The sequence below is a fragment of the Homo sapiens genome, chromosome 2, assembly GCF_000001405.40.
Source record: "Homo sapiens chromosome 2, GRCh38.p14 Primary Assembly".
Lineage (NCBI taxonomy): Eukaryota > Metazoa > Chordata > Mammalia > Primates > Hominidae > Homo > Homo sapiens.
In genome coordinates, this window is record NC_000002.12 from 59,366,184 (window position 1) to 59,390,515 (window position 24,332).

General features: G+C 34.9%; 1 long non-coding RNA gene across 6 annotated transcripts in view; it reads right to left on the bottom strand.

Moving 5' to 3' along the window:
- LOC105374754 (uncharacterized) overlaps positions 1 to 23,325 on the bottom strand; it is a 150,795-nt gene extending 127,470 nt beyond the window's left edge. For 4 of the 6 annotated variants that reach the window (XR_940129.3, XR_940127.3, XR_940128.3 and 1 more), the window contains exons 1-2: positions 21,879 to 23,325; positions 18,441 to 18,610 (exon numbers count right to left, since the gene is read on the bottom strand). This is a non-coding gene — a long non-coding RNA (uncharacterized LOC105374754). The remainder of the gene's footprint in view (positions 1 to 18,440; positions 18,611 to 21,878) is intronic. The other 2 variants (XR_002959389.2, XR_940130.3) reach the window with 1 other exon arrangement.
- Between the last annotated feature and the right edge of the window lie 1,007 nt (positions 23,326 to 24,332).

Below are 24,332 nucleotides of genomic sequence, written 5' to 3' on the forward strand. Positions count from 1 at the left end.
GCAAGGAGAGAGGGAGGGGGAGAGAAGAAGGAAGAAGGGAGAAAGGGAGGGAGGAAGGGAGGAACGGAGGAAGGGAGGAAGGGAGGGAGGGAGAGAGGGAGGGAAAAGAAAGAGAAGAAGAGAGAGGGAGGGAGGAAGGGATAAATAGGGGAAGGCAGAGAGGTAGGAAGATAAGAAGTGTACCCACAATAGCTAAATTTTAGTGTCAATAGATTTTGTTGCTGAAACAGTGAGGAGGAAAAATAATAAACATGATGGAAATGTATAAGAAATACATTCATGAAGTGATAGAAAATTAAAGAGATTTTACTGGAACAAAAGCCAGATGTAAGTAATGTCAGGATTTTCTTTGTGATGCTCATGTATTATAAGTATGCATTTATATTTATGTAATTATTATTAGTAATCCTTCAGTGTAGGAAACACTAATTTAAATCTGAAAAATGTTTAACCAGTAAGTACTGCTTTTAAATTGAAATAATTGTTTAAGTAATGGAATCTATAAAATCATAAGGTTTCTTAGGAAGGCAACTGTGGTATTATGGCAGAACAGAATGTGTATGTCTTTACCATAAATAAACAACTATGTCTAAAACTGACAGCAAACATAATACTTAAAAATAAATACCAAATAAGGTCATCAAAAAGTTTATTGAGGAAAAAAAACCCTGACCCCTGCCATCATTATTTCTGAACACTTTCTGAACAAGTCATGTGATTAGAAACCAGAATTAAAAGTGTAATCAATGATAGAGCACAATTGTGTTAATTATTTATAGATGTCATCTTTACGACATAGAACAATCAGTAGAAACAAGTGAAAATTTATTATTAGATGAGAAAATAGCCAGATAAAAGATAAGCACACATAGAAATATTTACCTTCACAATGCCAATAACCAATTGCAAAGTAAGTTATAGAGTTTTCTCCACAAAAAATGTGTTTGTTATGTTTGTGTATGTGTAGGTATAAATGTCTGTGTGTTTATACATGCATGTGTGTGTATGCATCAAGAAATAATACTTAAACAAAATCCCTTTCCCCACAATTACTTGTTGGCCACTTATCTTGTTTTTTCTTATAGCACCTAACGTGTCATATAATTGTTTAAAAAGTTATAATCTTTCTCCCCCAGAATAACGAAAGCTCCAGGAGAGGATGATGTTTTTTCATTGCTCTGCTTAGTGACTGCCACACAGTGCACATTCAATAAATAATTGTGATGCTGGTTATTGTAGCAGGAATAAAGAATACCTTACAGATGTGTTCATCTCTATCCTAGTTGAATAATCTAAATATTGCAAAGATGCCAATCTAATATATTTAAAAATAGTTCTTTGGTGTCTCAATGAATACTTTATTTTTCAAATAGATAAAAAATATTCAGTATTACAACTAGAGAAAGAAACAGGAAGAAACCACTAAGAATAGGCTGGAAAAGAACAGAGTTGAAACTTTCTCTAGTAGATTTTAAGGTAATGTTTTCATTTGTGCCAAAATTAGCAGATGCATCAATGGTGTCTAATAAATAGCTCTAAAATTAATTCTAATCAAAATAAGAATTTAGCTAATGAAAAAGGAAAGATCACAGAATAATAAAAGAAGAACTGCTTATTCAATACATGGAATCAGGAAAAAATTGAAGAAAAAATATATATTGATGTAAATCCTAAATATACTGAAAAATTAAACATAACATGAATATCATATAACATAAGGAGAAAACACAGATGAATATTGAATGACTGTGGAATAGGAAAATGCTTTCCACACATTCAAAAAGGCAGAAACTTTGTATCAAAAATACCATAAATATTAAATATCAAAGAGGAAACTGAGAAAAATTTATTCTTATCAAACATTCAGGAGTTACCATTCTTAATATCAAATGAGCTCTTACAAATTAATATATTATCACAAATTAATATAGTAAGCATTATAGTGAGAAATGTGCAACAATAATAGAAGCAAATAATTTGTGCATACACAAAAATTCAGATATCCAATAAATACATAAAAATTACTCAGCAATGGCATTTTACTTTTAATTTGCCAAGGAGTAAATGATTTTTAGAATTATTAATATTCGGTAATGGTTAGTGTGTAAGTGTGGGAGATGGGCAATAGTAGGCTAATAAATTTTAACAACTGGCTGTTATTGGCTGATATTTAAATTTAAAGTTAATGAGTAAGACAAGAGTAAAAAAAGGACAAAAGTCAGAATGTCACTCAATAAGAAAGCAACTTGTTTACATAGGATGATCAATTGTTTAAATAGTGGAGTAGATGAATTATCTGATCAAAGTTTACTACTACTCATAATGTAACCACTAAAGATGTGACATATTTTAAATGTAAACCTGCATTATTAATATTTTCTCCATTGCTTTATTGAGACTTAACTGCAAAACAATAATTCAGACTCTGGTTTGTAGTATTTGTTGTATTGCTGTAGTGAAATGATCCCACCATAGCTGATTTCAAACTGCTAATATGAAGTTGCTAAAAGACACACCATACTACCTCATTATATAGTATTTCCACCAAACAGACACCCCAGATGTAAATATTAGAAAGTGATGGGTTTTATCGTATTATGGGGGAAACTGTGTGTTTTATTTAAACTGGAAGGAAATTGTATGTTATTTGATCTTATATTTGTAAGTTCTGTTGCATGTATATGTATGTGTGTGTGTGTGTTTATTCATGTGTATTTTGGGTTATGTATGTTTACATTTGTTTACCTAGGTAGTATATTTGTATACAATTTGAATGTCCCTATTTCCATTTTTCTGTTATTTTTCAAATTTTCTACAATTAGCAAGTACTTTTCAGTTACCGCACAAATATTTACTATCTTGCAGCTCTTTCATTGTAAGCCTGAAAGAACTAATTCCTGTTAAACATATTTTGCTTCATGTCTTCCAGGTTTTAAGAGGGAGAGAAAAAGGGAGGATACCCCCAAAATACTATGTTATTCAAAAGATCAAGTGCTGCGAAATGTGTACATTTAGCTTAATTTTGCAAACTCTAAACAGATTATAAATTCAATTTAAATAGCACACCAAGCCCAGTCCAGTCTCTACAGTCTTCCAAACCACATTTTTAGGCCCTTTACCAAATTAGAAGTGGTCTTGAATTGCAAAATTGAGGTTTTTTTGATCCATTAAACTGAATGCTGCGTAACAGTCGTTATCCCTGAGAATGGTGTAGCATATATGCTGAATCTGTATTTCCATATACATTTTTGCACATACTGATTATAGAGAAGGCAATAAGCTCTACTTTGTTTCATTAGTTCAGTAAAAGAGGTGTTCAGGATTATTCAGTATAATTCACAGCACTTAAGAAAGCATGTATTTTCTTAATACTCTAAATCTATTGCTTTCAGTAGTAACTCAAGCATATTATGACTGGTTTGCTGTAGCACTGTCATTTTAAAATTGTGGTGGTACTATTTTCCCTCATTGTAACTGACCAATATAAGAATTGATTTAGTATAGTATTTTTATCAAAATTACTTTTTTATTAGGTGCATTGTGTGCACCTAATACACAATGTTGTGATTGTTTGTACTGCTGTCATAGAGGAGGTATCTGTACTTTTAAACCAGTTATAACTTGAACTGTTTTTAAGCTGAAAACTGGTCAGCCAACACACACACACACACACACACACACACACACACACACACACTGGTTTATGTGTGTGTATATATTTATCAGGAATGTGACTTTTACCTAGTGAATTTTACCAAATGGCAGAATTTGGGATTTGTTTATTTTTGATAGTCAAAGAGATCAAATGTAAGTATTTTAATATTGCTAAATATTTCACTTCTCCATAGGCAGATGATTTTCCGAAAATATATATACCCCATATTATTAAAATTGCTGGAAACACATGATCTTCAATCCCTTATTACTGACAAGTTAGCTTCTCTGATATCCAATAATAAAAAGAATGCTGTTAAATATATTACTGATGTAGTTGTTCCTGGTGGAAGTTTTATCGTAAACAGAACTATCCATTTTAGAATCAGAAACCAACATCCACTACATTAAAACAGAAAAAGCCTATTTTATCAGAGTTGCCCTCTGTTCTCAAAATTCACATCTAGTTGGCTGATGCTATCTTAGATAGCTACAAAGTAACTAGAGTATTCTTGAACATTGTTTAAACCTTTTTAGTTATCTCTGTTTAATCAATTTATGTTTTTATTTTCATATTCTTTTCTACAGAGATCACTGTATCAGAAAGTTTGAGATACAATCTACTTTGTACACAGCATGGGATATGTATGTTGTAGTTTTACCTCTAGATATTTCATGCTTTTCAAATTAACTCTGCAAAGAGCAAGTGATGAAGGAGATCTGACTTCTACAAAATGACAAATACAGGTGAAGTGTTGCAAGTAGATAAAATTAGGCAAAATCATTATGGTCATTACTTTCTTCAAGAAGGCTTAGATATGCCTCTGATTTTGGACAAAGGCTCAGTCTAACTAAAAAAACTAAGGTAATTTCATTAAAATTTAGTAGATTGTTGTAAAAAGTTGATCTTGGTTATTTGGAACTCAATAAGTAAAACAGAACAAAATAGACAAAACTCAACATGATGGCCAGAATTAATGGTTTTCTTGAAAGTTTAACATTCCCAGTGAAAATTAAAGGTACCTGGTAGCTCTATCATTTGAATTGTCCCATTAATTCCATAACAATTATTTATTTCATAGCATTTTATAGCAGTGAAATAATGTGCCAACCATTAAATGTATGGCCAAAAGTTAATTAAATGTGTTTTCGAGTTAACAGATGACACAAGAGCCAAAATAAACTGAAAAGGCAAAAAGTTTAATTTAGTACTGGTCATTTAATTGAGTAGTGTCTATGAGTGAGAAATTTGTTTTTTATGGATATTTTAAACTCCTGGTAACAGAGAGACATCTAATTTACTAAATGTGAAGTCATCACATTTTAGCTCATATTGACTTTAAAGCATCAGACCGCTTTATTCCATTACAGTCTTGCTCAGCCCCGAGATAAAGAAAAAGACAGGTTGTGAAAAGTCTAGGAAATGACCACCATGCAGATTTCATGCTGTTGCAGAACAGAATGGAAACAAAATAAAACAAACAAAAAAAAGATTTGAAGAGAAAATGAGGAGTTTAACCAAACAAACAAAGTTTGCAGTTAAGGAAGAGGAATTAAAAGAAAATATTAAAAATGCATACACACATAACATCTAGATAGTAGATAAAATCTCACACATGCCCAGCAACAACAGAAGCACCAGGTTTGATAATGAAAAAAGAAAAGGATGAATTAAATTTGATAACTGACAAATGTGAAATGCCAATGGAATGTTCAAGTAGCAATATCTAGAAAGTAGTTGGTATTTTGAGAGAGAAAATTGGGCACATTCTAGAGTACAAGATATATATATATAAGGTATACATTTTGAAAACAGAGATAAGTTGCAGCCTGGAGTTTTATTAAGAGTGATAAATTATTAGGGCTTATAGAAGAAGAAAAGCGAGCCATTGGCCCGCTCTTTCATTGTACACCCCTACATATTTGGAATGATATATGTTATCAATTACAGTGATTTTGCAAGAGCAATATATTGGAAACAAATGAAATGTTCATCAGTAGAGGAATGGTCAGATAAACTAGGATATAATAACAAAAGGACTCATTATGCAGTTTTTGGAGAGGTAGCAATATAATACAATTACCAGGATATATAGTTAAGTTAAAAAAAAAAAAGGCGTGGAGCAGAATATTGCATGAAGTATATGAACCTTTGTGTAAAAAAGTTTGGGAAAGTAGAATATATATTTTATTTGCTGGCATCTGAAAAAAAAGACAAGAAATATACAAAACTAATAAAGGTAGTCATACATGATGGAAAGGAAAAATGGGAAAAATAAGGACAGATTGGAAGAGAATCTTGTCAGTATACACCTTGTGACTTTTGTTTGTGAACCATGAAAATACATTTTTTATTAAAAAATGATAAATAAGACTTAAAAAACATATTGAATGTGAGAGACATGGAGACCACAAGAACAGATTCTCCAGGATGAAAATAAAGCATGAAGACAACACGAAAACCTCTCAAAACTGAGAGGTAAGAAAAGAACCAAGAGAATGAAATGTGTCAGGGTAGTTAGAGAATGTCTAGGAGGAAAAGAAGATCATTAGTATTTTCAAATGCTGCCAAAAGAATGTGGATTATGAGACCTAAAGAGAACAAAGAGAACAAGGTAGAGGTCACCAATGACAAGCATTTTCCTTCCTATAGATAACACTGTTGGTGGCACAGTGCATCTACCTGTCTGTGTTGCCATTAGCATTTAAATGTTTGCCACATAGCAGCAAAGATTCTTTAGAACTAGTCACTAGATCCTGGTCTCCCTTCATTATTTTTATTAAAAATGCCCCATTTTAAAGTTAAAAAAAAACAAATAGTAAACCTGACAGATTAGAAAATAATTCTTATAAATAGTAAAATCTAACATTCATTTCAGCCTTTTCTTAAAAATAAAAAATAAAAGCCTATTTGGTATAAGAAAAAGTATTTTACATGAATGTTTTCTCCTGAAACTGTAGTTTTTTAGGAATAAAAAATAAACATTTTGGTGGAATGCTGAGGTCAGAAAGTTGAAACTAACTTTAAGGTAAAATTACCCCTTGAAAAGTTAATTTTATCCTGGCATATAGTTGATTAAAGTAAGATATAAGTATTGGGGATTTGATGAGGCTCTGGAATTTTAAAAGTGTAAACTAAAAAAAAAAAAAAAAAGTGAATCACTGAATCCATTTTTTTTCTGAAAATTTTCAGAAATTTATAAGCTACTAAAATTTTTAAGGAATTTATAAGCTACCAAAAAAAGTAATTTGGATTCTTTAGTTGAATGACCTATGATTTTTTTAATGCTACTATTGTTTTGTTGTAGCTGTTTTTAATTTTTAGTCTTTAAAATTATTCAGTTTTTTTGTGGGGAGAGAACATTTCCCTTTGAAACCATAATCTTGCTAAATATATGCTCTCTCTTCAACATGTTTTGTAAATGGTGAAAGCATTCACTAACTAGAAAAGGTGATACATAAAGGATTTCTTAATTAAGTAAAGTTTCCTAGATAATTCTCCTGTTACATCAAAGTAAACTAAAGCTTTCCCAAACTCAATCTCCAAAGGCAGGAAGTCATGGAATCATGAAAATATTTGCATAATATTTACATTTGAATTGTTAATTTTATTTTGATTGTATTTTTAATTTTAAGTTAACTTTCTAAAAAATTTATTAAGTATAATAATTTTTGCATTTTAAAAAATGCTTTGTTGTTACGCCTGCTCTCCACTTAGATCCTCAAGTTCAAAGCTGTTTGGAACAGTTGGAAATTAACTGATCTGATCAACTGATTAGTCCTCAGATGTGAGTACCTCTTAATGGTTGAATTACTACCCTTTCTAGAGCAGCTGATACATGGTTTGCCTGACAGAAAAGACAAATGTTTGAAATTGATTTAGAAAGATTTGGGTATCATATAAACCATGGGTGGGAGACACAGTTTTCTTTTTTTTTTTTTTTTTTTTGGAAACAGACTTTAATTCAAAATCATGGGAAGCCATGCTTAAGTGCAGACCTTCAGATGACATTAAAGCAGAATGCATCAGGTGGGAGGACTTCTGGGAAGTAGATACACTTTTCCCTATTCTTTCCACTAAATAAAACTAAATCCCTGGACAACATATATGAAGCAAACAGTAACACCTCCCCAAGCAGTATAGGCAGAGACTACATGGCCTAGAGCGCCACACTCAACCAGAAGTAGGGAAATTTCTGACCATTCCTCATTTCTCCACCAGGAAGGCTTTAGAGCAGGAATAGTGGAAAGTCATGACTTTCATCAAGGAGTAATGAGATTTCCCCACCTACTCTGTGTGAGTGGAAGCCATGTGGGAGGCAGGAAGGAGGCACTCCAACCCCCGCCAGCCAGGAGGGTATCAGTGGAGACATAGTGGAGAGCCAGAATGCCGACCCACACCCAGCCGTAATGGAGTATAATGAAGCATATTGCCCACATTAATTGTGAAAGCAAGGTGAGTGAAGAATTGAATTTCTATCCCAACATGGCAGTAATAAGGCAGCACTCTCATTTTCCTGTTAGAGCACTGCCAGAGAAGTCAGCTGAAAGACAAGGTTTAAGAAAAATTTACTCATGATAGAACACCCAACATGTCAATGATTCCGTTGAAAATTACTTGTTATACTAAGAACCCAGAAGATATCAAACTGAAGGAAAAACGACAATGAATAGATGCCAACACAGAGATGAAAGAGATGTTAGAATTACTTGACAAAGATTTTAAAGCAATCATGAAAAAATGCTTCAATGAGCAATTATAAGCACACATGAAACAATGAAAAAAATAAAGACACAGCAAAGAAACAAATTCTTGGAAATAAGTAGACAATATAAAGAAGAAGCAGATGGAAATTTTAGAACTGAAAAATATAATAAAAACTCTAAACTGAAATTAAAAATTCTCAATAACAGAATAAAAGGCAAAAGGAAAGAATTCCTAAACTTAATGACGGAACAATACAAATGACCTAAATTCTGAAGAGCAGAGAGAAAATAGACAGGAAAAGGAAAATGAACAGAGCCTCAGGGATCTATAAGACTATAAAAAATTGATGTTCATGCCATTAGAGTTTCAGAAGGAGAGGAGAAAGAGGTAAGGTTAAAAACTTCTCAAAGAAATCATGGCTAAAGATTTCCGAAATTTGACAAAAGACATAAGCCTGAAGATTCAAAAAACTAAGCAAACCCCACATAAAATAAACTCAAAGGAATTCACGCCAAGACATATCGTAATAAACTTCTGAAACTAAAGACAAAAAAATCTTGATAATATCAGGTGAGAAATTACACCTTACCTATAGAGGGGAAAAAAATTGAATGGCAAAATTTATTGTCAAAAATCATGGAGGCAAGAAAAAAGTTGCACAACCGTAATAGCTAAAACAATTTTGAAAAGGATACAGTGGAAGAAAGCATTCTACTTGATTTCCAGACTTATTATATAGCTACAGTAATGAAGACACATGTAATTGGCAAAGAAATAGAGACACAGATTAATTGACTAGAATACACAACTCAGAAATAGACCCACACAAATATGCCCAATTGATTTTGACAAAGGGGCAAAAACCTTCAATGGAGTCAAAATAGACTTTTCAACAAGTGGTGCTGGGGAAATTCAACATACATTGTTTAAAAAAATAAACCTTTACCTAAGTCTCACTCCTTATACAAATAAAAACTGAAAATGGGTCACATAATTGAATGTGAAATATAAAATTATAAATTTTTAGAAAAAACAGAAGAAAATCTTCCTGATCTATGTCTAAGTAAAGAGTGTTTTTGACTTGACAGCAAAATCACAATTCATGTAAGCAAACATTGATTAGATTTTATAAAAAATAAAGACTTTTTTTAAATGTGAAAGACCCTGTTAAAAGAATGAAAAAACAAGCTACAGATTAGGAGAAAATATTTGCAAAACCATCTGAGGCAGGAGAAAGGATGGTAAATATTTGAAAATCATCTGGTAAAGGATAATTATTTAGAATACTTAAAGAACTCTGAAAACTCAACATTTAAAAAAATGCCATTCGAAAACGGACAAAACCGGAAAAAGAGTATGCAGATGGAAAATAAGCACATGAAAAGATGTTCAACATCATTAACGATTAGAGAAATACAAATTAAACCACAATAAGATATTACTACGCACGTATCAAAGTAGCTAAATAAAATAATTAGTGACAACACCAAATGCCGAAGAGGATGTGGAAAACCAGATCACTCATTCATTGCTGGTAGGAATGTAAAGTGGTACAGGGATCATGAAAAATAGTTTGGCAGTGTCTTAAAATACTGAACATGCAGCTACCATATGACCCAGCAATTACACTCTGGAACATGTATCCTAGAGAAATAAAAACATGCTTACCCAGAAATCTATGCACAACTGCTTATAGTTTTCTTTTTAATAACCTGAAACTGGACACAACTTTAATGTCCTTCATCAGTTGAATAGTTAAACTAACTTGGTATGTCCCTACCATGGAATATTAGTTAGCAATAAAAAGAAACAAACCATTGACATATATAACAACTTGGATGAATCTCCAGATAATTACGCTAGGTGAAAAAACCCAATCCCAAGATTTCACGTATATAAATTATTGAACTGACAAAGTTATAAAAATGGAAAAAGATTAGCTTTTTTCAAGGGCTAAGAAGAGGTGGTGATGGAAGGTAAGTGGATGTGGCTATAAAAGGGCAATATGAGGCACCCTTGTATCGATGAAAACATCTGTATCTTAACTAAATCAACTTCAAAATACTGGCTGTTATATTTTACTACAGTTTAAGACATTACTTGCCAGGCCTGGTGGCTCACGCTTGTAATCCCAGCCCTTTGGGAAGCCAAGGCAGGTGGATCTCAAGGTCAGGTGTTCCAGACCAGCCTGACCAACATGATGAAACCCTGTCTGTACAAAAAATACAAAAATTAGCCGGGTATGGTGGTGTGCGCCTGTAATCCCAGGTACTCGGGAGGCTGAGGCAGGAGAATTACTTGAACCAGGGAGGCAGAGGTTGAGCTGAGATTGCACCATTGCACTCTAGCCTGAGTGACAGAGGGAGACTCCATCTCAAAAAAAAAAAAGGAAAAAAATTTTAAACAGACATTACCATTGTGGAATAGCTAGGTAAAGGACACAGGAGTTATTGCTACGTTATTTCTTACAACTGCATGTGAATCTATAATCATCTCAAAATGAAAAGTTTAATTTAAAAAAGAAGAGAGTTCCTGCCTGGCTGCCTCCAAACTGGGACATTAGCCTTTTCCAGCCTTTGTACTTGAATTGAATCATCAGCTCATCCTGAGTCTTGAGCCTGCTGGCTGTCACACTGGAACTACATCTTAGGCTTTCCTGGGTTTTCAACTGATCAGCTCACTCTGGTGATCTTGGGAATTGTCTGCCTCCATAACTGGGAAAGTCTAACTGCAGCATTCTGGAGGTCAGCCTGTCTGCATGCAGACTATCCAGAAAGGAAACTTGTTAAGTTGGTATAAGATCTTAAAAAGGAAACAATATTCCACTGAATATTCACCAACAAAAGGAAAACATCTATTTAACAGAAGGTCCAAGGTATTGTGGGAACAGAGACCTAGACCCTCCATTGCACTGATAGGCTACAAGGCCTAGAGGCAGAAAACACTCACCTCCTCCACAAATAACCAAAATAGTGAGTAGATAATCACACGTTGAATAGAGGACCCAAGAGAGAACATTAGAATTCAACAGAGAAGTGATGGAAAACACATAAGGCAGGAAAGGAGAGGGAAGCAAGGCAGCAGCCTTGCTGGGATCAGCTGAGTGCCTGGAGAAGCTTCCCATGTGGGGAAAGGGTAAAATATATTGTCCCCAGAAGTCCACCTTTACACTGTGAATTCCTGCAATCCTAGCCATGGGAGGGCCTCTCGACCACTGAGGGTGCTGAAACTAGTATAGGGAGCTGCCTGGAAAATGTTTAATGGCATTGCTTTAAAGAAGAAGTTCACTCTGGGTCCCAAACACTCCTCAAAACACAAGCACCTGCAGTATGGTACCATTTTGAGAGCCCAACCCCACCTACTGCATCCTGTCCTGGGGCCCAACAACCCCTGAATCTCCACATCCCTGGAGCCTCACTGATATTCCCTTGTGTCTACCCAGAGGGCTGCAGCAGTGCAATGCCAGTTGGAACCAGGAGTATGATAGGGAACCCAGCACTCTAGCCCAAAGAGTATCCTACACTCTGGGTAACAGGTGATGAAGTACAGCAGGGAGGCTGTCCCTGAGTCAAAGGGAACCAAAGTATGTGCTCCCAGAGCCACAGAGTCACCTGTCTGGGACTGCTGCCATTGACAGCAACACTGTCCCCATCAGCAGCAGGGCCCTGCCTTCTTGCACATGCTCTAAAGACAGGCTCTCTTTGCCCACTGTGACCACTTTGAGCATACTGCATGGGGGCCTGAGGATAGCCCCACTGTGCCCACCACCGCCTGTACCTATGTGCACTGCCAGGGGGCCTGAGGACAGGTTTGCCAGCCTGTCAATGCTCTTCACTTGTCAGTGCCCAAGCACACTATTTGTGGGTCTGGGTGTTACCCTACCCCACTGGTCACATTGAGTGAACATGCATACCACCAGAGAGCTCAACAATAGGCACAGAACACTTGCTTCCAGCAGCCAAACATACTATGCAGAGGCCTGGGGGTTGTGCTGCTCCATTCACCACTGTTGGCATCTGTGTATTCCTATGGAAATCTGAGGAGGGGCCCACCTAGCCTACCACCACTACCATTGCTGGCAGCCACCTGCATGTACCACCTGGGGGTCTCACCCAAAGAAATCTTCTCCAATGCACATTATGTTCAAATTGTCAAAAGTCAAAGACAATGAATGAATTCTAAAAGCAGCAAGAGTAAATTTTCTAGTCACATATAAAGGAACCCACATTAGACTAACAGCAGATTCCTTAGCAGAAACGTTATGGGCCAGGAGATAATGGAATAATATATTCAAAGTGCTAAAGGAAAAAAAAACCTGTCAGTCAATCATACTATACCCAAGAAAGTTACTATTCAAAAATGAAGGAGAAATAAAGTGTTTCCCAGACAAGCAAAAACTGAGGGAATTCATCACCACTGGATTAGCCCTGCAAGAAATGCTTAACCTGCAAGCAAAAGAACAATATCTACCATCAATAAAACACATGAAAGTATGAAACTCACTGGTAAAGCAAATGCATAAATGGAGAAGAGAAAGAACTCAAATGTTACCACAACAGAAAAGCACTGAACTGCAATGATAAACAATAAGAGAGAAAGAAAGCAATTAACAAAATGACAGGAATAAGTCCTCAGATATCAATATTAACCCTGCATGTAAACAGATTAAACTTTTCACGTAAAAGATATAGACCAGCTGAATGGACGTAAGAGAAAACAAAAAGTATGACCCAACAGTATGCTGTCTACAAACAAACAAACCTCAGTTCATCTGTAAAGACACATATAAACTAAAAGTAAAGGAATGCAAAAAGATATTCCATGCAAACAGAAACCAAAACTGAGCAGGAGTAACTATACTTATATCAGATAAGAGATACTTTAAGTCAAAAACAGTAAAAGGGGCAGAAAAGATGATTACGTAGTTATAAAGGTATAAATTTAGCAGAAGCATATAAAAATTGTAAATATATATGCACCCAACACTGGAGCACTCAGATATATAAAGCAAATATAATTAGACTGAAAAAAAAAGAGATAGACTCTATTCTCAGCATTCACCCCATTGTTAGCATTAGACAGATCATCTACACAGAAAAGCAACAAAGAAATATTGGATTTAAACTGCACTTTAGACCAATGGACCTAACAGATATTTACAGAATATTTTATCAAACAGCTGCAGAATACACATTCTACTCATCAGCACATGGAACACTCTAGTTTAGACCACAATGTTAGGCCACAAAACAAGTCTTTACAATTTTTGAAAATCAATATCATATCAAGTATCTTATCATACCACAATGAAATATAATTAGAAGTCAATAACAAGGGAAACTATGGAAACTATACATACATGTACGTTAAACAGAACTATGCGAAATTGAGACTAAAAAGCATATAAAAGATCAACAAAATGAAAAGTGTTCTTTTTGAAGAAGTAAACAAAATTGATAAGCTGCTAGCTGAACTAAGAAAAAAGGAAAGAAGACCCAAATCAACCAAACGAAAAACAAACAAACAAACAAAAAAGGAGACATAGCAACTGATACCACAGAAATATAAAAGACCATCAGAGGCTATTATGAACAGCTATGTGATAAGAAACTGGAAAATCTGTAGGAAATGAATAAACTCCTGGACACATATAGCCCAGCAAGATTAAATCAGAAAGAAATAGAAAACTTAAACAAATCAGTAATGAATAATGAGGTTGAATTAGTAATAAAAAGTCTCCCCAGGATGGGATGACTTTGCTGCCAAATTCTACCAAACTTATAAAGAAGAACTGACATGAATTCTCTTGAAACTATCCAAAAAAATTGAAGAGAAAAGAACTATTCCTAACTCATTTTATGAGGCCAGCATTACCCTTATATCAAAACCAGAGACACAACAAAAAAAGAGAGAATGCTACAATTCAATATTCTTGTTTATCATGGACACAAAAATCCCCAGCAAATGCTAGCAAATCAAATCCAACAGCACATCAAAAAGAAAATATGCAATTGTCAAGTGGAATTTATACTAGGAATGCAAAGATGGCTCAACATACACAAATCAATGAATATGATACATCAACAGAATGAAGGACAAAAACCTTATCATTTCAACAGACACAGAAAAATTATTTGGCAAAATGCAATGTCTCTTCATAATGATAAAAGAAAAACTCTCAAAAAACTAGCCATAGAAAGCAAATACCTCAACATAATAAAGGCCATATATGACAAGCCCACAGCTAACATCATACTGAATGTAGAAAAGCTGAAATCCTTTCTTCTAAGAACTGGAACAAGACAAGGATGCCCATTTTCACCACTCCTATTCAACATACTACTGGAAATCCTAGCTAGATCAATGAAGCAACAGAAAGAAATAAAAGGCATCCAAATTGGAAAAGTAGAAGTTACATTGTCCCTCTTTGCAGAAGACATAATTTTGTATTGAGAAAAAACTAAAAACACCACCAAAAACCACTTAGATCTGATAAAAAAAATTCAGTAAAGTTGCAGGATACAAAATCACACAAAATCAGTAGCATTTCTACACACCAGTAATAAGCTGGCTGAAAAAGAAATCAAGAAGTCAATCCCATTTATAATAGCTATAAAAAGTAAAATACAAGGCCTAGGAATAAATTTAACCAAGAAAGTAAAAAACTTGGTTGGGCACAATTGCTCATGCTTGTATTCCCAGCTCTTTGGAAGGCTGAATGGGGAGGATCACTTGAGGCCAGGAGTTCAAGACCAGCCTGGGAAACATAGTGAGACTCCATCTCTTCAAAAATGTTTTTTTAAAAAAATTTTTACAAGGAAAACTATATAACACTGATGAAAAAATTGAAGAAGACACAAATGAGAAGACATTCCATCCTCATGGATTAGAAAAATTAATAATGTTAAAATTAGAATACTACCCAAAGCAATCTACAAATTAAATACGATCCCTTTCAAGACACGAATTATAATTTTCACAGAAATAAATAGAGAAACAATCCTAAAATGTGCATGGAAGCAAAAAAGAGCCCAAATAGACAAAGCAATCAGAACCAAAAGAAACAAAGCTGGAGGCATCACATTACCTGACTTCAAAATATATTACAAGGCTACAGTAACCAAAACAACATGGTATTGGAATAAAAGCAGACACACAGACCAATGGAATAGATTGGAGAACCCAGAAATAAATTCAATTATTTACAGCCAAATGATTTTCAACAAAGGCACCAAGAACACATACGAGGGAAAGGACATTTTCTTCAATAAATGGTGCTGGAAAAAAATGAATCTCCATATGCAGAAGAATAAAATTTAGTTCCTTTCTCTCAACATATAAAAAGTAAATTCAAAATGAATTAAAGATTTAAATGTAAAACCTATAATTATAAATGTATTAGAAGAAAACATAGGGGAACTCTTCAGGATATTTGTCCAGTCAAGACTTTAAAAGTTAGCTAACAAAAACAAAAATAGACAAATGGGACTATATTGAACTGAACTTCTGCACAGCAAAGGAAACAGGTAACAGAGTGAAGAGACACCCTGTTGAATGGGACAAAATATTTGTGAACTATTCATCTGACGGGACTAATATCTAAAATATACAAGGAACTCAAAACAACTCACCAACAATAAAAATCAAATAATTTCACTAAAATGTGGGCAAAAATCAGAATAGATATTTCTCAAAAGAAAACATACAAATGGCCAACAGGTATATGAAAAAAATTTTCAACATCACTAAACATCAGGGAAATACAAATCAAAACCACAGAGAGATATCATCCTACTCAGTTAGAATGGCTATTCTAGAAAGACAAAATACAATAGTTGCTAGTGGGAATATGGAGGTAAGGGAACTCTTATGCATTGATGACAATGTAAATTAGTACAATGATTATGGAATACAGTGTGGCGATTTCTCAAGAAAACTAAAAATAGAACTATCATATGACCTAGCAATCCCACTACTGGGTATTTATCCAAAGGAAAGAAAATCAGTGTATTAAAGGGATACCTCCCTGCCACTCACATGTTTATTGCAGCACTGTGCACAATAGCAAAGATATGGAATCTACCTAAGTGTCTATCAATGGATGAATGGATAAAGAAAATGTGGTACATATACATAATGTAATACCATGAGGCCATTAAAAAATAAAATTCTATTTGCAACAACATGAATTGAACTGCAGGTCATCATATTAAGTGAAACAAACCAGGCACAGAAAGACAAATATTGCAATGTTCTTACTCATATGTGTGAGCTAAAAAAGTTGATCTTGCCAAAGTAGAGAGTAGAATGATAGTTACCAGAGGCTGACAGGATGTATATGTGAAGGAGTGAGAGGATGAAGAGAGGTTGGTTAACAGGTACATTCAATTAGTTAGAAGGAATAAGTTCTAACGTTTGATAACAGAATAGCATGACTATAGTTAACAACAATGTATTGTATATTTCAAAATAGCTAGAAGAGAGGACTTAAAATATTCACAACAAATAGAAATCATAAATATTTGAGGTGATGGACATCCTAAATAACCTGATTTGACCTTTACATATTGCATGCATGTAACAAAACATCACATGTACCCCATAAATGTTTGTACATATTGTGTATGTATAAAAATAAAAATAGAGATCAAAAAAGAGAAGAAAGCATACTAAAACATAAGCAAAGCAAAACAAAACAAGAGTGAAAAGAGTTTTCTTAGAATCTTCCAGCTTGGAAAATAATAATTTTTTTAATCACTTGCCACCTGATTTCTCTATACAGATCATGGAGAATCTACAGATAGACTCTGCAAGATGTATCGTCTTTCCTTCTAGGGTTGTGCTGTCTTGCCTCATGATGGGACTCATTGAGTTCTGTTTCTGAACACACTAACAATTTTTCTGGATTAAAATTTTGACTTGTTCTTTTAGCACTCCAAGCAAGCTGCTTGGGCTTCCTAGTATTCCAGCATCTTGCTTGTAAAACAGCTAACAACACGGCCAAATCCATTAGAGCATACCCTTATCAACCTCCTGAGTTTATTGATATTTACATTTATGATACAGACAAGTTTTTTGAGAGCCTCTTTTTCTGCTGCCTGGTGTTTGCTTTCACAGGGAGAGGCCAGACAATTGAGAGGGAAGGAGGCAGCACTTGTGCTAGATTTATTGGCACAGCACACTGAAGAGCAAACACACCACCAAATAGAGGATATTGATAAGGAGACTAAATTCATTTGAAATCACTAAAACTCAGTTAGGGGCATATTGTATTAAGTGAAATGCCATTACTGAAGGGCCAAGGGAAAGACTGTATGCCAAGTCATGAGAGCTTTTCAGCTCACTGGAAGGCAGCCATTGCACCCACGCACTACATTTGATGGTTTGGAAGAAGAGATAATTTCTGCATAGATCATAAACGGACTTAAATCTCTCAGTCACTAGGAGCACAGGCATGAGCTGAATTGTCCCCAAGTGAGAGTGTACAAGAGAGGATCCCCATGCAGTAAAAGCATACACTAAGCAAGTATAAATTCCAGCTTTCCATAAAGGCATTCTTTCCCCGTGATTGTGGCACAATGGTGTATTAAAAAATTCCACACTAAGGAGCATCATTTGATTCTGTGATTTGTGTGTGCATGTATGTGTGTGTGTGTTTGTGTAAAGCATCTCACTCTTTGTAGAGAAGATGACAGAACTCTGGCTTACTTAATGTATTTTAACCATTTTTAAATGGAAAGTTCCTCCAACTAACGTAAGTTCCTGCCCAGGCCATAAGAACAACTTGGGGTCTATTCTGGGTGCAGGAGAGAGGTTGCTACCTGCCACAAGTAAAAGAGTAGACTCATAAAGGCTGTTTTCTCCTAAGCAGCCTCCTAGCACTTCTCTGAAGGTTGTTTGAGGTTTCCTCACTTGATGTCTCTCATGCTGCCCTTGCACTGTTAATCGTAGTGAGCAAGGATGGGCGGTAAACAGGAGTCAATTTCAGTGATGTGTATAAATCTTGTTCAGGTTATTCAGACTAAGGCAGCCCCTTATCTAACAAGCAACAGAGCAGACTTTGGAAAACACTTTTCACCTGTGACAATAGCGGCCCAGTTTTGTCCTCGTCAACAGTGGAATAAATGTAATATCTCATGTCAGCTAACTCCATGTCTTATTTATGCCAAATTCTTCTGGGTTCAGCATTTTAAGACAGCCTTTGCATTAGGATTTTATTCTAGCACAGACTCCTAGAATAGCATTGTTCTGCAAAGAGAGAAGACACTTTTAAGTAAAATTTTATAATGACCAGAATAGAAATGAATTGTTGTCTTTGCTGTGCTATCTCACCTGACTGTTTATAAAGTAAGAAGAATGTTGGCAAATCAGGAGACATCATACTTCAAACCTTTGATAATAAGTACATTGAAAACTATCAGAGTTGTGCTGAAACACTATGAAATAATTCCAACAGTCACAAACAGAACCATGGCTAGTTGGAGGAAGATTAAGGGTTATTTATTGGCCATTGAGGGCTTCCACCTAAAATTAAACTTTTTGGAGGGCATGCATTTGAATGTGAGGTCCTAAAAGGAATATGAACACAGTAAAAAATGCTCATATTTACAAGAAACACATATTCCCTTCTCTGTGGTCAAAAATGCATATGGCTGGCCTTTTGGCAACATGATCATACTTTTTCTTGATACAGTCAAAGCACAAAAATGAGCTTCATTCTACTGAACTAATCTGTATACGGCAAAATAATTAAAAATTGCAAATGTTTGTAAGATTATCAGACATGCTTTGCCAGCATGTGTTTTCGTATATCAAACTATCAAATGAACCAATTTTGAAACAACCAAATTCACATTATTTAATTACGAAGCTTTAATTGAAGGAAGAAGATAGAGGTCCTGAAAATTAAAAACAAGAAAAAAAGCTTATCGGTATTTGTATTTATCGCTCTGATATACACTCTATATAAGATCTGAATGGTCTTGCACCATTCCCACCTGATGATATCTCTCTCCTGGCAAAACTCTTCAATTATTGCCCAGTTTCTCCAGAATAAAGGCTATGCTACTGTGAATGGCAACACTGCATATCTATCAGTCTGGCCTCTGTCTAGGTCTGCCACCTTATTTCTAGATTTTTCTTTGTTACTTTTTATGGTTCAGCAACACTAAACAACTTATTCCCCAAACATGCCATGTTCTCTTGGCATCTGCATTTTCTGTTTTGTCTGTTCCCATTACTCAATTGGCAAACTTCTATTTATTATTTTAAACCTGAGCCTCAATGTAACTCCCTCTTGGAAGCCTTCCTTAATATACCTAGCAGACTATTCTTCGACTGTGATGTGGCCCTATTTTATTTTGTGTATACACACATTATTGTCATTACAAATACTTGTCAACATATCTGGTTCTTAAGGGCAGAAACTATGTAATTTCTTCCTTGTTTCTTCAGTGCATACTATAGTATTTTATATATGTGCGGTCTTAAAGAGTCAGTGAATAAATGAATCAATCCATACATGAGTTAATGAATGAAAGTAGCTGTAGAGAATACATTTGTAGTTTTAAACACATTGCAGTGCGTGAACCTGGGAGGCGCAGCTTGCAGTGAGCCGAGATCGCGCCACTGCGCTCCAGCCTGGGCGACAGAGCATGTCTCCGTCTCAAAACAAAACAAAACAAAAATTGCAGCAAAACAGATGTTAAAAAAGAAAAGGTACGTTCCTAATTCCTCTCTTTTTGTGATTTGCAATGTCATTTAGGGAGTCCTAGAGCTGGACTTCCCAGAGCTGATGGTATGATGGTTTTCCTTACCACAGTGAACCACGCTGAAATTTTCTCAGAAGCACAATATTTCTCTACTCCTCATCTTCTCCCTCCTCCTTCTCCTCCTCCTTATCATCAATATATACATAATCAAAATTGTACTCTTGTTCAGAATCTGCTCATTCACAAAAATAAAATTAAATAAACTCTTATACATAACCATTCATGGCTCAAAGAAAAACACTGTTTCCCATGTCAAGAAAAACCAGCTTGCAGAAGCAAAATAAATATTAGCCTTATCGCAGAGCCAAAGTGATATACATGTCCAGATATGTGCTGTTTTTAGCTTTTAAAATAAGCAAGGTACTATTTTGACATGATGGCTTAATACTTGAGTCTTCCAAATTTTACCCTGAGAAGAGATCCGTGTCTGGCCAAGGGAATGTGTCCTATGGCAAAAGGATGAGAACATGCTAGGGTTTTCTAATGCCTTTTTCACATTCTTACAGGCAGAGTATCATGGTCCCCATTTAAAAATACCATTTATTTAAATATTTCCTTAATAATGATGCCCTCAAACACAGTATTCACACCTACCTCACAGCAGTATCGGTAGATACACTGGATACTATTTACAAAAGGTATAATTTCTTTCTTAGAAGGAGTTGTATTAAAAATTAAAAATGTTAAGGATGTAATTGAGCAATACCATATTAATAACTCCAGTGTCCAGAGAATGAAGTGTGCTAGATACTTGAATTTTCTGGTTAATAGAGTGTTGTACTTTCTAAGAGAGCAGATTAGGAGGGTAGGCTTGAACTTAAACTACTTAGGTTCAAAACTGAGCTCTGCCACTTCCTAGCTGTGCAAGCTTGGGCAACTTTATTCCCTTCTCTGGAACCTCAGAGTCTTCATTTTTTGAAAAAAAGAATCATGATGATATATATCTCCAGTGCTGTGCCAAGTCATATTCGAGACTGAAGCAAAAAAGAAAATGGTGTGCTACTACACACACTATAAAATATCCTCTAATATTTTTAATCAAGTGGAAAAAGAAAAAGTAAGTTCCACAATCAGAAAAGCATGTCAATATTTAAAGCTTTGCATTGTCCAATCTGTTCACAGCCATTGTCAACCCTTATAAATTTACCCTGTGGGGTGTGCAATGATGCCCCAGGGCCAGAACCTTGGGCTGGTTAAATATTACTGTTCAATTGCACGATAATACAGGATCACAAGAGACAATAACCTATCTTTATGTTAAATTCTGATAATTTATTCGTTATGAATTTTTGTATTTATTTTTATTTTAAAAAATATTTTATTAAAATATGATTTATTCTGCTTACTGAGATTTTTGGTATCCACTTTAATATTGTGCACTAACCTCACCTGAGTTGTGACTGTGTCTAGCTCATGTGTTGTTTTGAGGATGAAATGAAATAATTATTGTAAAGACCTTAGCAGTAGGCCTGACACATACTTAGTGCCCAGTAGTGTTGTTAATTAACATTGTTCTTGAAAAGGTAATAGGCATAGGAAGTATAGGTTTTGACCCTTTTTGCCCTTTGTGGGATAATCTTCCCAATATGTCAGTGTTATCCCTTAATTCTCTTGAGTCCTATTAACTTATAACCACCAAACTAACCACATTAATTCGTTTTAGGACCCACTGGATATCCTTTAAACAGAGTAGTTACTGTACAAATACCTTAATTTCTGCCTTTCGTCTTTCTGAACAAACTTACCATTTGGATTGAGGAGGTTGGTTGATTTGGTTCAACACTGAAGTTCATGCTTTCTTACCGAATTGGTCATTTGTATGGTTTGGTTGAATAGCCAGTCAGTCATAACACTTAAGCCAGGTATTTGTGCAGATTAAGTGCTAAAGCTAAGGCCCATGTTGTGAGGCTAAGTAAAGGTAGGCTCCTAGAAAATATAGCTAATTGAAGACTGATCTCTCCAAACACATTATTCTTTGTGTTTTCACAAAGTAACATCTGTGACAGTTCTGCCATGATCTGAATGTCTGTGACCCCTGTAAGCAATGCCCTCTGCTGCCTTCTGAAATTAATCCACCTGATCAGATTATGATGCTGATTGTGATGTGACACATGAGATATTTAAAAAGTGTTTCCAATAGCAACCTTGTCAAAATACATTTGCCCTCTCAAAAAAGGAATACAACGACTGCATGGCTGGTTCCAACATACACAAAATGCATGGTAAATAACCAAGAAATAAGCAAAAATAAGAGGAGACTTAGCTGATGTGATTTTAAGTGAGTGATATTTTGGAAGGGGTTAAGCATTCTTACAACTAATATATGACTGAGAAGATTCAACTTTAGTAACTGCATGAGAATATTATAAACCAAGCCCACACAATATTAAAATTAGTTAAAATATATGCAAAATTTATGAGAGAATGTCAGGTGTAATACTTGATAAAGTAAGCTTAATGCTTAAGAAATTTATCTTCAGGCTGAAAAGCCAACTCTTGCAATTCTGAGTGAGAGTATAATTTTAGAAACTCTTTTCTGTAAAGTCATTCTTTTATTAATGAGATCAGCTCTAGGTGAGCTGAAAGTGGTAACTTCCTAAAGCATCCAGGAGGACAAACAAGACCCTCAAAAGCACTGGGACATCAGTAGTACCTGTTAAAAAAATACTGGGGAAAAAATATGTCCTCAAAATTTGTGTCTGTTCAGTCATATTTCTTTTGTTGTTTGGAATATTGCTGAAGCTTGTGAAAAATAAGTTTGAGGGCTGACAGAGGCTCTGTGTTATCTTAGACTTTTCTTCTTCACTCTGGGTGTGTCACATTGTTACACTGGGTGACACCTTTATTATCAGGCCAGAATTCAGTGTAAATATACCACCAGAAAGTCCAGAGAGTGGACTTCCATTGGCTAATTAGTCACATACTACAGCTCCCAGCTGAAATAATGCTGTGGATGAAAGAAGAGAAAAATCTGCTTATTGCACCATCTCTCTGCAGGATAACTCAATCTCTTCTTTGTAATCCAAACACTTTTATTCACAAAGCAGGCAAGTATAAACTCAATCAGCCAGGGTAAATTATTGACAGCCAAACACTGTTGAAGCATCCAGCAAAGGTTAGAAAAGAACGTCAGACATGTTTAAGCTTGTGAAATCACATCATGTTTAGGAACACTAGTCATTTTTAGATGACCTTAATCTCTAGGCTTTTGGCATGCTGCCCAAGAGCTGGGATTTGCTGTGTATATCCTTCTCAAGGGCCTGGCTGGGTAAGAAGTTTCTAGGAATTCAGGACTTTTCATGCACCAAGAATTTGAAAACTGTCACTTCGCAAATATCTCAATTCCTGATTTTTGTCTCTAATGCACACAGCGTTTCTGAACAAGCATGGCGTTCTGAAACTAAGTTGGATTTAAAGAAATATCTAAGTGACTTATTTTATACTTGCCACAACTCTTTTGAGTCACTTCTTCAATTCTGCAACTCAATATCAAAAACAATAATAAAAACAAAAGAAGAATGTAATGGTTTGGTTAACCTTTAATGTAACAGCTAAACTTCTTCCTGGCATTATAGAGTGGTTGGATAAAGGATTACCACTATTGTAGAATGATGTTCCCAGCAACACAGCATGAGGAAATACTTGAGTTGGTAATCCTGCCTAAAATATTCAAATAGGGCCAATTAACTTGTTCATAGCTGCTTTACATGTCTTATTACCTCACATAACTGTTTTAAAAGCTATCTTACCAAAGAATAGCATTAGTTCAATATTAATTTCCCTTGCTCTGAAGTCAACTGTTTTTCTTCTTTCACTGTGTCATGTCTCTGTCCTACTCCTCCCTTTCCATTTTTCTTTTACTTTCAACTTCTCCAAACATTTTTTACTAGATACGATTTTATACAGGTTTTATTTCTTGAAAGCTATTCTAAGCCTTTCTTACAAAATGAGGATGATCAATAAATTGTCTGCTTGCCAATTCTTAAAAAAAGAGAGAGGTTTAAAACATGAAGAAAATTGCTGTGAAGGTGTGACTGCCAGATGCCAGAAGAGTTTAGATAAGTCAGTGCAAATCTCTCTATATGTGAAGAAAGAAATCTGTAGATAGATTTCTATATTCAGTGGAATTAGGTGAAGCTCTTACATCAATATTAGGTATTGAATCTGACCTTTTTTGAGGAATAGTTTATGGAATGGAT